We start from the raw sequence: 14,658 nt of genomic DNA, 5'->3' as shown, positions 1-14,658 counted from the left end.
GCCTGGCTGGAAAGGTATCTTTCTAAATGGACCTTAAGGTTAAAGCTCATGGTATCTGTTAAGTCATTGTAAAGGAGAATGATATAGTGGTTAAGAGTGTCTATGCTGGAATCATCTGGACCTGAGTTACAACCTTGACTCTACCACTTATTAAGGAAATAATAACTACCTCATAGGGTTCATATATGGATTAAGTGAGATTATGTTTAGAAAGGACAGTGGTAGGCTCAATAAACATTAGTTATTATTACTGCAAACTTAACAGAATATATGTGGTTCTAATTACAAAGTCCCACAGCTCAACAGCATTCATCACTACCTGCTGCATGCCATTCTACTCAGAGTACTGAGTGGTACTATTATGAAAATTGGAGATACATAATAATTAGGAGAATTTCTCAAAAGCTTTTAAGGAGTGACAACACAGTAGGCACTCCTGAAATACTTGTTGAGCAATGAGAAAAACAAAGGGAACCTAAGATAAAAACACATAAACAAACAGAAACAAGAGAGTACAGAATTATATTCACGAATATAGGAGGGACTAGAGTGACCTAACACTCTCCTAACATGTGAAAGTCTCAGAGAATGTATCAATACTGTATTTCCCATGGATCATGTGTGAGACAAGAATGAGTAAACTTGACTTCCATAATCAAATTCATACCTTAATCAGAAAACACCCATTCTTTCCCCTCCTTGCTTTGAATATACTAAATTGGGAAAATATGGCATTTAGTCATGGTTACTGAAGGAGTGGAGCAAACACAGCTTTGTTCCTTTATGCTGTATTTCTAAAGAGCACATCCTTATGAGACCACGTTAGCCAACCGAGATGTTTCCATCTGTGGTCCACACTTCTCTTTTCAGTGTTACATAAAAGTGATGCTTTTGCTATCCTTTATCTCGTTCTCGTAATGGTAAAAGTTGCTATTTGCAGAGAGTTTCCAAAAGGTTATGACTACTATAGGGAAGTTTTAGTAAGTGGCCCTCTCACTCCAGTGGGAAGAGAGGGGAAGATATTTTCATTTGGCCCTCACACCAACTCCATCCCCACTGCCTAAATCCCTCACTCACTCACATTAGTTCTGCTCCCAGACCCTCTGCCTCAGCATTCCCTCTCCTCACCCTCCTGCTTAAATCTAAAAGGAAAGCAGGCAGCAGCCTTGGAAAGAGTTACTTCATCCAGTTGGCTAATGGGTCACATATTCCATGGGAAAGGATCCAGGCATGGAAAAGAGGGGATGGTTATGCCTTTTGTGTAAGGAGAGAGAAGAGTATTAACAACATGGTTTGCAGGTCTGGGTAAAAGGTGGTAAAATTCCAGTTTTGGGGTAAAACAGGAGTATTTTCCCATTATGTCCGCATGTTGCCAGCTCCCCTCATGCCTCCTGGCATCCTCCCAGGCTTCTGTCTGGCACTTCCACTAAATACCTAAAAGAATCAGACTCATTCCAAAGCTTCACAAAGAGGGAGGGGGAAGGCAAAAGGTCCTGCCAAGTACTTTGATCTATGCAGGGGGTCTCAAAGGATTCAGCCCAGGGAGAGGTGGGAGGGAGAAAAAGACTCTTACATAGCCTGCCAAACACATTCTCTAAGACATGTCACCCCACTGAGATTCGGCATCCAGGGAAGAGTTAGGGCGCAGGGTTCTCGGCTCCACCAAGGAAAGTTTAACTTTTCTATCCTTTATGATGCTAGCTTTAAAATAACAAATCACTAGGGCAAAAAAGCATTCCAAAAGAAAAAAGTCCCAGATGAGCTGGGAATAGATCCTATTCTTTTTGACTCATATCTAAGAAAATAAAAAGCAAACTTGTACCATAGCTGACTTTCAATAGCAATTCCATTTGGCAGCTAAAACCTAAACCCAAACTAGTGCCGTCTATGAGATTCAAACAACACTGGAGCTCCTGGCACAGAGCTGAAGGAAAAGCTGTTGGAGAGGGGCCTTCAACACCAACGTCAGAGCAGAGACAAGAGGAGACAGAGCCAAGGCATATGACCATGGCCTTATGTCACAGGAGACTCAGGGTAAAAGGCCTCCAGAGTGGCCTAGGCCAGGTAACAGAAGTTGCAGCCAATGCCTGGGGCTGTAGCAGTTGCTCTATCAAAACCAGATCCTATATTTCTTTGGCATGAAGGGTCTGGCCATCATTGTTTACGGTACTGTTTTGAGTCCAGACTGAATTTAAGGACTTTCCAATGTGAAAGATCCCTCAGAAAGTTAGTTTCTACACATATGGCAAACAGCTCAATGTGAAAAGACAAGTGGGGAATTTAAGATAGGGTTCTGGTCCCACATACAACACATCTACCTACCCCTGCCCTTCCAGAGTTCCAGTGGAAGGACAGAAAGAATATTTTCAAAAGAATGAAATGATATCAAAGCTAGGAAAAAGTAAAAGAAGCCAGAAAAGTCCAAAAGAGATAAGAGTGACCTTCCCAAGGAGGCTCCTGCAAATTTCCAAGCTTGTACTCAACAAACATGAAGCTCAGGGATCAGCCAAGGAATTAGAATCAGATAATTAACAAACAGCATTTGGAACAGTGAGGCCAGGAGACGTGTGGGTGCAGAAATCTGATAGAGAAGAGTAGAACTTGAGGCTACCTTATCACCAGTACACACAAAAAGGAAAAGAAAGGTAGCTCTGCCCAAGAGGGAGATCACCAAAATCCTCCTCTGCATTCACAATATGGCCCACTTTATTTTGGCAAGGTGGAAGGGGAGTGCTTCTCACCATGTCCACCTAAAGTAAAGCCTGAGAGTCAACATGTTTTGCCCTTACACAAAATTCACAGTCAGCCTCTTCCAGGGAGAAGATATTAGGAAAAGAGTCCTACACAACCACAGTAGAAACCCAGACCAGCGGCCAGTTTCATTCAGTCTAGTCTTTTGTTCATAAATATGGTCCAACATGTAAGGATCATCAAAGCTGAGAAAATCCAATAGCAGGGGAAAAGACAATCCCAATAAAATTAAAGGACAGAAGAGAACTTTACAAAAATTTCCATTGGTATCCTCAGAAGGAAAGGCAGGCAAACTGCATCCATTATGCAACAAAAGGTTGTTATTTGTAAATAAAAATAAAGCAAATCAGAATATGAGTTTCTGGAAATCAACCTATGATACCCAATATAAAAATACAGTAGATAAATGAATAATAAATGGATAAACCTCAACCTGTGATCTAGAAGATGGGAAAAGAATTAAAAATGCGAGAAAAGTTAACATGAAGGAAAGATCTAGAATGCCTCAAAAAAGAGTTCTAAAAGCGGAGACAAATAAGAAGATAACTTTCCTTAAAGAAAAACACCAGTTTCCAGACTGAAAATGCCTGCCAAATATCCAGGAGGAAGAATAAAAAACTGGTCCAGGCCTAAATCCTGGTTAAATTTCAGAATCCCAAAGTCTGTCAGCGGCAGCAGCAAATCCATATGGGTGGGTCTGCAGCAACTCACTTATTGCCTCCTTGCAGGAAAGAATTTGTCTGAGGGCATAAGGCAGAGTGAGAGACCAAGGCAAGTTTTAGAGCAGGAGTGAACATTTATTGAAAAGTTTTAGAGCAGAAATGAAAGGAAGTAAAGTACACGTGGAAGAGGGCCAAGCCGACAACTTGAGAGACCCAAGTGCCTGTTTCACCTTAGACTTGGGGTTTTATATGTTGGCATGCTTCCGGGGTTTTGCATCTCTCCTCCCTTGATTTTTCCATGGGGTAAGCTGTCTGCATGTGCAGTGGCCTGCCAGCACTTGAGAGGGGCCTCATACACAGTGTGTTGGCTGCAGCTGTGCACGTGCTCATTTGAAGTGTTTTTGCCTTACCAGTCGAGTGTTCCTAGAGGAAGGTCATATACCAGTTAAACTCCATCATTTTGCTTCTTAGGGCACATGCTTGAGCCTACTCGCCCAACTCCTGAGATCTTACTGGGAAATGGCTGATCACCAGCTTCAGGTGCCTGCCTTTCCCTGGCATCTGCTGCTACCAATTATTATTTTAGAGAGACCAGTTTAACAACTGCCTGACCATCACCTGATGATCACCTGACACTCCTTGGTGGTAGCGGGGGCCCTCTCATGCCCGGCTCATGTCTGCCCAGCTACCTATCCTAATATTTCCCCCTTTAGAAGTCCAAGAGTTGGTTTCCACTGAGTTTAAATGTTTTACTCAACTTATAGATAAAATAAAGAAACTGAATCATAGTTACTGAAGAGATTCTATTATTGTTTAAAACATAAACATAAAAACTAATCAAACAAATGTGCAAGGGAGGGTGGGACATGATGTAAATGCAATAAATGCCAAACTGGGAATTAACAAATACAATGTAATGTCAATGAAAGAAATATAAATCAACAAAAGTTACTAACTACTATTGTAAGTCCAGGGAGTGAGACCAGTAGGGATTTTATTTACCATGTGTATGTATTCAATTTAAGACAACTTTTAATGAGAATTTTGCAAAGAATCAAGATATTGCTGGCTTTTGAAAAAAGAGGAGAAATGAGACGAAGAAGGGCAGAAAGAGGAAAGGAAAGAGGAAGGAAGGAGGAGAAAGGAGAAGCAGCAGCAGTAGCGAGGATACCATACCAAATTAAGGTTCACTTGTTTGATAACCTTGAGAACAGAACCCACAGTTCTGCTCACAACAGATGCTAAACACATACGCTATCAATTAATACTTGGTGTGTAGGAATTAACATCACAATATGCTAAAAGCAGAAAAGGTACCTCTTTTCTGCTGACACAACAGGTTGCCCTCCCCTAAAATCTGATCAAGTGTCTTTTTAGCCATGGAGTAACTGCTGGTGCAGAAGATTCCTGCCAGTAAGGCAAACAAGTCAAGTTATACCTACGCTTAACTCACTTCTGAATGCAGATTTAAGAAGAGCACACCTGCTCTTAATGAAATGGAACTATATTAGTAACCAATACAAAGGGTGAAGGAGGAAAGAACAAGTGAGGAGAGAGGTTTGCCATCTGCTGCATACTTACATTGTTGATCAGGTAGACGCCCCGCCCCCTTGAAGATGCCACTGGTTTTACTATCCAAGGTCCCCGGTCCTTCGAATATGAATCTGCTCAAAATATTGGGAGATAAAAAACAGAGGAAACAAAGAAAAAGAATGAACTTGAGTTTATTATATCAACTTTCAAAAAGGGTTATCTACTCAGGGAACCCAAAAATCTTACAAATTTCTAAGTGTTGGGCAGTAACTAAAATTACCTGTATTTTTGGACTTGCCTTAAAAATAAAAATAGAGCGAGGGAAGGAGGGAGGAGAAAAGAGGACAGCAAAATCACTCCCATAGTAATTTCTTCCACCATTTCGCCTCTTTCCTTTTCTTTTTTTTTTTTTTAAGGCAGGGTCTTTGCTCTGTTGACCAGGCTGGAGTGCAGTGGTGCTTCCATAGCTTATTGCACCCTCAACCTCTGGGGCTCAAACAGTCCTCCCACCTCAGCCTTCTGAGTTGATGGGACTACAGGCATGGGCCACCATGCCCAGCTAATTGTTTTTAACTTTTTGTAGAGACAGGGTTTCTCTATGTTGCCCAGGCTAGTCTTCAACTCCTGGCCTCAAGCAATCCTCCCACCTCAGCCTCCCAAAGCGCCGGAATTACAGGTATAAGCCACCATGCCCGGCCTCCCCTCTTTCTTGAATGAAAAGATGAAAACAAAATAAGGCAAATATCTGGATGTTAGTCTATTACTGTCACAAAGAATCATCATGAATCTTTGAAATGCTTACATCTGTTAACTAAAGGACCTTAGGCAAACAGTGTCAATGTAAGCCAAAATCTAGTTCTTATAATACAGCTACTTTCCTTAAATATTTCGAGCTTATAAAAAAAAATTCACTGTAAATCAAGCAATGTGCCAGTGGAGAGGAAGGACAATCATTTACAAGTGATTAAAAGGTGCCATTTGTCCTGTTCCTTTCCCAGGTTCAGCTTTACACTTTATATCCCTTTGGATCGTGAAAAGAGAAAGCAGACAACTGACACTAAGCCTCCCAGAGGCTTGCAAGTGGTCTGAGGAAAAGCAGCTCTGTCTTCCACTTAGGGAGTGTCAGAAGTCAGGGGAGAGAAGCAGGCTAGAGCTCTCAGTGCTGCTGATTCTCACATCCCAGACTGGAGAGAGAGCACTGGTCCCAGCTGTGCCTCTTCCACTTTTGATGAAATACGTCAGGTGGCAGCAGTCAGTACTGTTTCAAAGCAGAGATGGGATGAAAGGTAAAAATTGAGAGAATTTTTTGTTTTTGGTATTTTTCTTCAATGAAGGAAGAGAGAAAGGGAAGGAATAGTGTGGGGAAATAAATCAAGCAAATGCAAATGTTTCTGAGCAGATCTCACAAAGACTTCCTTTTTCCAAATTGCCTAGGTTGCTGTGCGCCAAGATATCAGTCCCAGTTTATCTAGAATACAACAGCATAAACCTAAGAAAGTTCCCTATAGTTTCTGTTCTTCTGGTTGGACCTATTAAGAGGCAAGTCCTTTTCTAGGGCTCCAGTATCAGAACAAGACTTTCAGATACTGGAGTCCTGAAGTTTTGCACACTTCCCTCCACCCTGCATTTGGGCCTATACCAGGCAGGTCTTCAGAAGGAGCTCTCTAGGCTCAGCTCCTTTTCCCAGATGACTTGCCAGCAACTACTTGTCTCCTTTTCTTTCCTCTCCCTCTGACATGAGCCAGTCTCTTCAAAGCCTCCCACACAAACTTGACTTTGTCAATGCCACAAACCATTTCAGCAGGAGGAAAGAAAGAGATCTTTTGTCCACTCTCCCCCATCTTCCTCTGCCTTTTCCCTTGATGCAGAATTAACAGAATTAGAAAAAATTTAATGTGCCGCACAGAATTTAAAACTCTGTGAGCAATTCTACCTCTAGAACTATATCCTCTAGTTCTACTCACACATGTGTAAAATATTGCATATATAAGATTTTCAATGCTGTGTTATAACAGCAAAATATTAATTAAATACACTACAATGCATCTGTATGAAGGGTCGGCAAACTATTTTTGTAAAAAGCCAGAGAATAAATATTTTAGGCTTTGCAGGCCATGCAGTTTCTGTGGCAGTACCTAACTCTGCAATTGTAGCTTGAAAGTAGCCATAAACAATATGTAAGCAAAGGGGTGTGGCTGTTTACATAAAATTTTATGTATGAACACTGAATTTCATATGATTTCTACATGCCACAAAATTTTATTCTTCTTTTGATTTCTTTCCAACCATTTAAAAATGGTTCTTAGCTTGTGGGACACACAAAAACTGGCAGAAGACCAATTTCACTCAAGGGATATAGTTTGCAGACATCTAATCTACACAATGGAATATTAAGCAGACACACAAAACAAGAATATTATTAATGAACTGATATGGAATGATCTTGAAGATAGCCTGTTAAATGAAAAAAACAAAGTGCAGGGCAATGTATGTTATATACGCCCATCTGTTCATATACACACGTTATTTGCTAGTAAATGCAAAGAATATCTCTAGAGGGTATGTAAAAAACTAGTAACACTGATCATCTCTGGGGAGGAAAATGGGATGACTGAGGAACAAGAGGAGAAAAGAGTCTTTTCACTGATGACTGTTTTGGAATTTCTTTTGTACCATGGGAATATATTACCTTTCAAAAAATATAATTTATAAGTCCTGCTATAGAAGACATATTTATAGTTATATATGACAAAAAATTAAATTTCCATAAAGTGAGGCCACTGAATATATGTATGTGTATTCAGTTTATATATTTTTTTCACTTTGCCATTTTCCCCAGATACTGAGCAGACTGAACAGAATGCCTGAGCAAGAGGCTATTAATATCAAAACAAAACAAAAAATAACAAAACTTTCCAAATGTCACTCATTTAATACCTCTAAGTATCTAATCTGTGTCCATCAGTTTGCTAGGTGTGGGGCGCACAGTATTAAAAAATACAGTCTTTTCCATCATGAAGATTAGACTAGCCGAAAAAACAGACATTGAACAAGTAATTACAGGCAATGAGAGTTATAAAAAGGAAGTACAAGGTTCTACAGAAATGTCTAAGGAAACGACCAGGCTAGTTATTAATAGGCTCACTCACACCTGTAATCCCAGCGCTTTGGGAGACTGGGGCAGGAGGATCCCTTGAGGCCAGGAGTTCAAGACCAGGCTGGCCAACCTACTGAGACTGTCTCTATGGAAAATAAAAAAATTAGCCAGGCATGGTGGTGTGTGGCTGTAGTCCTAGCTGCTTCTAAGGCTGAGGTGGGCAGATTACATGAGCCTAGGAATTCGAGGTTATGGGGAGCTATGATTACCACAGCCTGGGTGAGAGAACAAGACCCTGGGGAGGGAGGGGAGGGGAGGGGAAGGGAAGGAAGGAGAGGGGAGGGAAGGGGGAAAGGTAGCGGGAGGAAGGTAGGGGAGGGAAGTGGGAGAGGGAAGTCGGGGAGGGGAGGGGAGGGGAGGGCAGGGAAGGGAAGGGGTCAAAGCCATCTGGAGACAGTACCCTCTACTTTGTGAACTAGGCTTATCAGAAGTTAATGCTTCTGGCTATCGGGGGAACCACCCCCAATATTTCAACATAGGTTCTTTTCTATTTCCCTAAGTGTTGGCCGGTCTGAGAAATAAAGGGAAAGAGTACAAAAGAGAGAAATTTTAAAGCTGGTGTCCAGGGGAGACATCACATGTTGGCAGGTTCCATGATGCCCCCTGAGCCGCAAAACCAGCAAGTTTTTATTAGTGATTTTTAAAGGGGAGGGAGTGTACGAATAGGGTGTGGGTCACAGAGATCACATGCTTCCCAAGGCAATAAAATATCACAAGGCAAATGGGGGCAGAGTGAGATCACAGGACCAGGCAAAACTAAAATTGCTAATGAAGTTTCATGTCCCACTGGGCACGCATTGTCATTGATAACATCTTATCAGGAGACAGGGTTGAGAGCAGACAACCAGTCTGACTAAAATTTACTAGGCAGGAATTTCCTCATCCTAATAGGCCTGGGAGCGCGACGGGAGACCAGGGCTTATTTTATCCCTTATCTTCAACCGTCTAAGACAGACATTCCTAGAGTGGCCATTTTAGGGACCTTCCCCTAGGAATGCATTCTCTTTCTCAGGGCTGTTCCTTGCTGAGAAAAAGAATTCAGCAATATTTCTCCTATTCGCTTTTGTAAGAAGAGAAATATGGCTCTGTTCCACCCAGCTCTCAGGCAGTCAGACCTAATGGTTATCTCCCTTGTTCCATGAACATCACTGTTATCCTGTTCTTTTTTCAAGGTGCCCAGATTTCATATTGTTTAAACACATGCTTTACGAACAATTTGTGCAGTTAACGCAATTATCACAGGGTCCTGAGGCGACATACGTCCTCAGCTTATGAAGATGACGGGATTAAGAGATTAAAGTAAAGACAGACATAGGAAATCACAAGAGTATTGATTAGGGAAGTGATAAATGTCCATAAAATCTTCACAATTTATGTTCAGAGACTGCAGTAAAGATAGGCGTAAGAAATTATAAAAGTATTAATTTGGGGAACTAATAAACATCCATGAAATCTTCACAATTTATGTTACTCTGCCATGGCTTCAGCCAGTCCCTCCGCTCAGGGTCCCTGACTTCCCACAACATCTGGCTGGGCGCAGTGGCTTATGCCTGTAATCCCAGCAATTTGGGAGGCCGAGGTGGGCGGATCACCTGAGGTCAGGAGTTCGAGACTAGCCTGGCCAACATGGTGAAACCCCATCTCTACTAAAAACACAAAAATTAGCTAGGCATGGTGCACATCTGTAATCCCAGCTACTCAGGAGGTTGAGGCAGAAGAATTGCTTGAACCCAGGAGGCAGAGGTTGCAGTGAGCCGAGATCACACCATTGCACTCCAGCCTGGGCGATAGAGTAAGACTGTCTCAAAAAAAAAGAAGTTAATGCTTCTTCTGGTGCTTCACTATGATTAAAATCCTGAATGTTCTTGAAATTCTAAATATCAAAGACTGTCTTTCATGCTAGGCTTTTCTCCTTGATTTGTGATATTTTCAGAACAAGGATTGTTCTCTTTTACAGGTTCTAAATGTGTGGGTAGGAAGCAAGAAAAATCAGAGGCAAAGGCCGGGCAGTCTTGCTCAGGACTCTCTGCTTCAGGATGAAGATGTACTAAAACAGGCTCCCCAGTTCTTTCAAGTGCTTTCCAGTTCCTACAGTGGCAGCAGGCTTGGTCTAACAGAAACAGCAATGAACCTGGAGTAGAAAGATCTGAGTTGTAATTCTGGCTTTTCAAGTATATGACTCTAGAGGTAATTTGCTTAAATCACCTAGTCTTATCTTTAAAATGAGATTTGTAAAATTTAGCCTGATTTACTAAGATCTCTTATAATTCTAAAATCGTAATTCTACAAATTTACCCATTGCTTTGAAATCTAGTCATCTGTAATTAGTTGGCGGACATGAAAATTCACATGTTAGAATCACTTCTCAATCTCCCTTACAACTAGAGATGGCCATAGAGCCCAATTCTGGGGAAAGTTTTGCTTTTCTGATACTGGTACCACCCCATCTTCTTCTTTGTTGCTTCTTTCTTCCTTCTGCTTAGAAAGCTGTCCCCTTGAGGGGAATGGCTGGAGTTGGCAACAGATCCTTAGTCACGGTCTTCAGGGTCACAGACCTCTAATTCTATTCTACTAAATACTGTAACTGGCAGTGATGGCAGGAGCCTAGATAGACCAGTGTGCCATGTATTCCAACCACTACACTCAAATTACTGAGAACAGTTTGGGGAGTACCTAGGCTTTCACATCTCTGGAGACAGTGATTAGTCTCTAGGCTATATCTTTACAGGTTGTCTCTTATTAGAACAAAAAGCTATACCTTCATGAGATCACCTTGGCTGGTGTCTCTAGTGTTTTTAGGCAATCCTCATGTCCAATCCTTATCAGTTCTCTTTCAAAGGCCCTGCAGAGGCTATTCCAATCCCTTTCTGCCTTTTTAGACACCCACCCATCCCTAGGCCCCTTCACTCCTGGCATAAGACCTCATCAACCTGTTCACTAAGAAGGCTAGGAATTTGTAACATAAACCTATTTACCTGCTTTCCTCTCCATCTAAAATGTTATCTGGGTCATCAACTTAGCCTTCTTCCTTCTCCTCTTTCAGGAGACACATGCCCACTTCTCTTTCAAATGCTCACCCTTCTACTGGGGTTCTTGATTTAACCCTCTCCTGCCTCCTCTGAGACCTCATTCCCTTGTTCCTCTTCAATCTCCCTTTCCTCTCTGATTCTCTGCGGTGCTGCTGCTTTTTTTCTCTCCCTTAGTAATCACACCCATCTCCATACTGCAGCTTCCAGAATCTACATCTCTGGCCAGAACTCAAACCTGCTCTTACAACTGCCACCTGCAAAACACACTACCTGGATGCCCCATCGACATCCAAATCCATACCCTGTCCAAAATGTAACATTCCTCTACCCCTTTAACAGCTCCTCCTTTGCCTTCCTGGTTACATTCCCTGGTTAAAAACCCAATGGTCTTCCTAGCTACTCAGACTCAAACCTTAGGATTCCTCTTTGACCCCTGCCTCGCTCCCCATACACAGGCAGTAATGTTTGTTCTTGCACCCTTTCTACTCATACCTATCCATTTTATCCACTTCACTGCAGTAACCTTCAAAGAGACCACCAGTTTCTTCTCTCTGCTTCCACCGACTCATTTCACATAGTTATTTTTCTAAAGGCCAGTCTGTTTATGGTGTCCCTTTCCTTCCAAAAAAATTTCCTATTGCCCACACTCAATTAAGCACTGGAGGGCCAGAACATAATAATATTAATTAGTATTGTTTAACTAATACTAATTAATAGTAGTTATTAATAACATAACTACAACTTTAGTTAGTAGTTAAACAAAACATACAAAAATAAAATAGTAAAACATAGTAAAAACATAGTAGTATTAATATAGTGAGTAGTTAAACATAACTATTACTAATACAAACATAGCCTGAAATAGGAAATAGTATTAAACATTTATCAAGCCACCCCTATCAGGCACTATCCCAAGTGATTTCCACATACTAACCTACTTAAATATCTTGACAACTTTATAAGGTCAGCACCAGCAATACTCCCATTTTATAGATGCGGACATTAAGGCACACAGAAGTTGGAGTAACTTGGCTAAAGTCACATAGCAAAAAATTTCTTGACTACAAATTTGCAGCTTTGAGTGCACTGAAGTTCTGAAGTTGATTCATTTAATTAGTGCTCTATGTGACCCACTGCAGAGCCATCTGTGGGCAAACAATGAATTGCCAACCAATGGCCCCAGATAGAGCAACAAACGCTATTAGATAAATGGTGAAGCAGGCATTCCTGATGAACTGCTGGTCTCCTCTGCCAAAAGATGAACAACCCACTAGGTGACCCAGAGAGACTGGCAAGCCTAACATGTTAAAAGAATCAAAAGTCAGGAAGTCTAGAGATAACTCTCTCTTCTCCCCATGCTACTTCGTCTATCCATAAAACAGAAATAGTATCTTTCTTGGACTTCTTGGGAGGAAAACTGTCCTCTCTGTGTGTCTCACCTGATGTTCCTCATGGGAGAAGTGACTTCTCTCACACCGATGCTACTGGGGAATGGTCATTGCATGCACGCTGCCCAGTGCCATTAGCAATGAAGCACAGAGACGAAGAGCATGGCCTCTGAAGCCAAACTGCCAGTTTGAACCCTAACTCTACCATTTGCAAGCTGCATAACTCATGGAAAGTTTCTTAACCAAACTGTACCTTAGTCGCCTCATCTAAAATACTACCAGAGTAGAGGTGCCTACTAGAAAGTAAACATTCAGTAAATGTTAGCTATTACCACCGTAATTTGGACTTTCACAAGAGACCTGCCTCACATCTCATCTGTACTCATGTCTCTTCTGTGCATTAAGCCTACTGAGTCAGGCTCTGCCCCTGTGGAGGAAAGCCTGAAACCAGCCCAGCGCCTCTGCCTGGCCTGGGTGGGTAAGTTCACAATGATGCAAAATAAATAAGAAGCCCATTTTAGATCTGGATCCAGGCCATGTGTTTCTGTGTCACTTTACCAGCCATACAGCTGACACTTAGGTGCCTATTTGGCTCCTACGTGTATTTTTTTTTATTAGTCTGAACTCAAAGGGGAGAGAATGTGACTAACTTGTAGCTCCAAACCCTAACATCCAAAGATATGCGATATCTCTACCCTCAAAGAACATAAATTACAGAAGACAAGAAATCAAGGCTGAAAGAATGTTCTTAAATGGCAAGCGAAAAAGGGATACCGAAAAGGAAGCATGTATAATTCACATGCAGGAATATAAAGTATCCTTACAGGCCGGGTGTGGTGGATCATGCCTGTCATCTCAGAATTTTGCGAAGCCAAGAGTGGAGGATCCTTTGAGCCCAGGTGTTCAAGACCAGCCCAGGCAACAGAGCGAGATCCCATCTCTACAAAAAATTAAAAAATTAGCTGAGCCTAATGGTGCATGCCTGTATTCCCAGCTACTTGGGAGGTTGAGGAGGAAGGATCACTTGAGCCCATGAAGCAGAGGGTGCAGTGAGCCATGATCGTGCCACTGTGGTTCTGGGCTACAGAGGGAGGCTCTGTCTCTTAAAAAAAAAAAAATAATACTTACATAGGCACTAAGTCATCAATGGAGAGAAGGGACATTCAAGCAAAAAATACATAAGACAGGGGCATGCTTATATGATGCCAGTGTGCCCTTACATAAATGATACTGACAAGTTTACTGAACATATCAGAATAAAAATAGTTTTTAAAGTTACCTCTGCAACTGTTTTACTAAAGAGTCACAGTTGTCTAAGGATTTGGAAAGCCCTGATTGGTTGACACCTTGAGGAGGCTTTTGGGGTAAATATTCCCCAGGTTCAGTTGCTGGGGACTGGGGCATTCTCTGTCAAGCACTTACTACAAAATTCCGCGTACTCAGCTGGCAGGAGGAAGGTCTGGGGGAGGATGTGAAAAGCCTTGAATCCATGTGTATGCTGCATTCGAATAATGTTTTTGTACAGTCGGTCCTTCCGGGTAAGTTCATAAGACCTGAAAAATCAAAAAAGTATTTCCATTCAGTAAACTATGACTCAGAATTTTCCTGTGTTATCACATTCTAAAGAGTTACAGTTCACAGTCCTAGACCGGTTAGTGAAGATAGTATTGTATCCTAAACATATCGCTGTTAATCCAAAAGGCTTATTAATCATTTTTATCAAATGGGTTTTTTGGTCAGATTTTTTCATTAAGATAAAATCTCCATACAGTAAAATTTGCCCTTTTTAATGTGTAATTCTATGAGTTTGGACAAACACATACAATTATGTAACCACCACCACAATCAAGATAAACAACAGTTTCAACATCCCAAAAAGTTACCTCAAGTCCCCCTGTAGTGGACCCTCCCAATCACCTCCAGCCCCTGGGAAAACATTCATTTGTTTTCTGTCCTTATAATTTTGCCTTTTCCAGAAAGTCAAATAAGTGGAATCAGACAGTGTGTATCCTTTTGAGACTAGCTTCTTTCACTGAGCACAACTCATTTGAAATGTATCATTGTTGCATGTATCAGTATTCTGTCCCTTTTCTTGCTCAGTAGTAATCCACTGTATAGATGTACCATGGTTATCCATT

The 14,658-nt window shown here is 41.5% G+C and overlaps 1 protein-coding gene across 1 annotated transcript in view, besides 1 other annotated feature; it reads right to left on the bottom strand.

The window, feature by feature from the left end:
* Positions 1 to 14,658, bottom strand: part of TTLL5 (tubulin tyrosine ligase like 5) — a 293,834-nt gene that overhangs the window by 250,815 nt on the left and 28,361 nt on the right. The window contains exons 6-7 of the mRNA NM_015072.5: positions 13,943 to 14,073; positions 4,995 to 5,077 (exon numbers count right to left, since the gene is read on the bottom strand). Coding sequence (NP_055887.3) covers positions 4,995 to 5,077; positions 13,943 to 14,073 — 214 coding nt within the window. The remainder of the gene's footprint in view (positions 1 to 4,994; positions 5,078 to 13,942; positions 14,074 to 14,658) is intronic.
* Positions 6,333 to 6,533: a silencer, noted in NCBI's record as "peak2202 fragment used in MPRA reporter construct". NCBI's record gives its function as "represses an SCP1 promoter by STARR-seq MPRAs in K562 erythroleukemia cells {active_cell/tissue: K562}" and the evidence as "EXISTENCE:reporter gene assay evidence [ECO:0000049][PMID:32103011]".

The sequence above is a fragment of the Homo sapiens genome, chromosome 14, assembly GCF_000001405.40.
Source record: "Homo sapiens chromosome 14, GRCh38.p14 Primary Assembly".
Classification (NCBI taxonomy): Eukaryota; Metazoa; Chordata; class Mammalia; order Primates; family Hominidae; genus Homo; species Homo sapiens.
The sequence above is the reverse complement of the archived record's forward strand: the minus strand, read 5'-3'. Positions and strand labels throughout refer to the sequence as shown.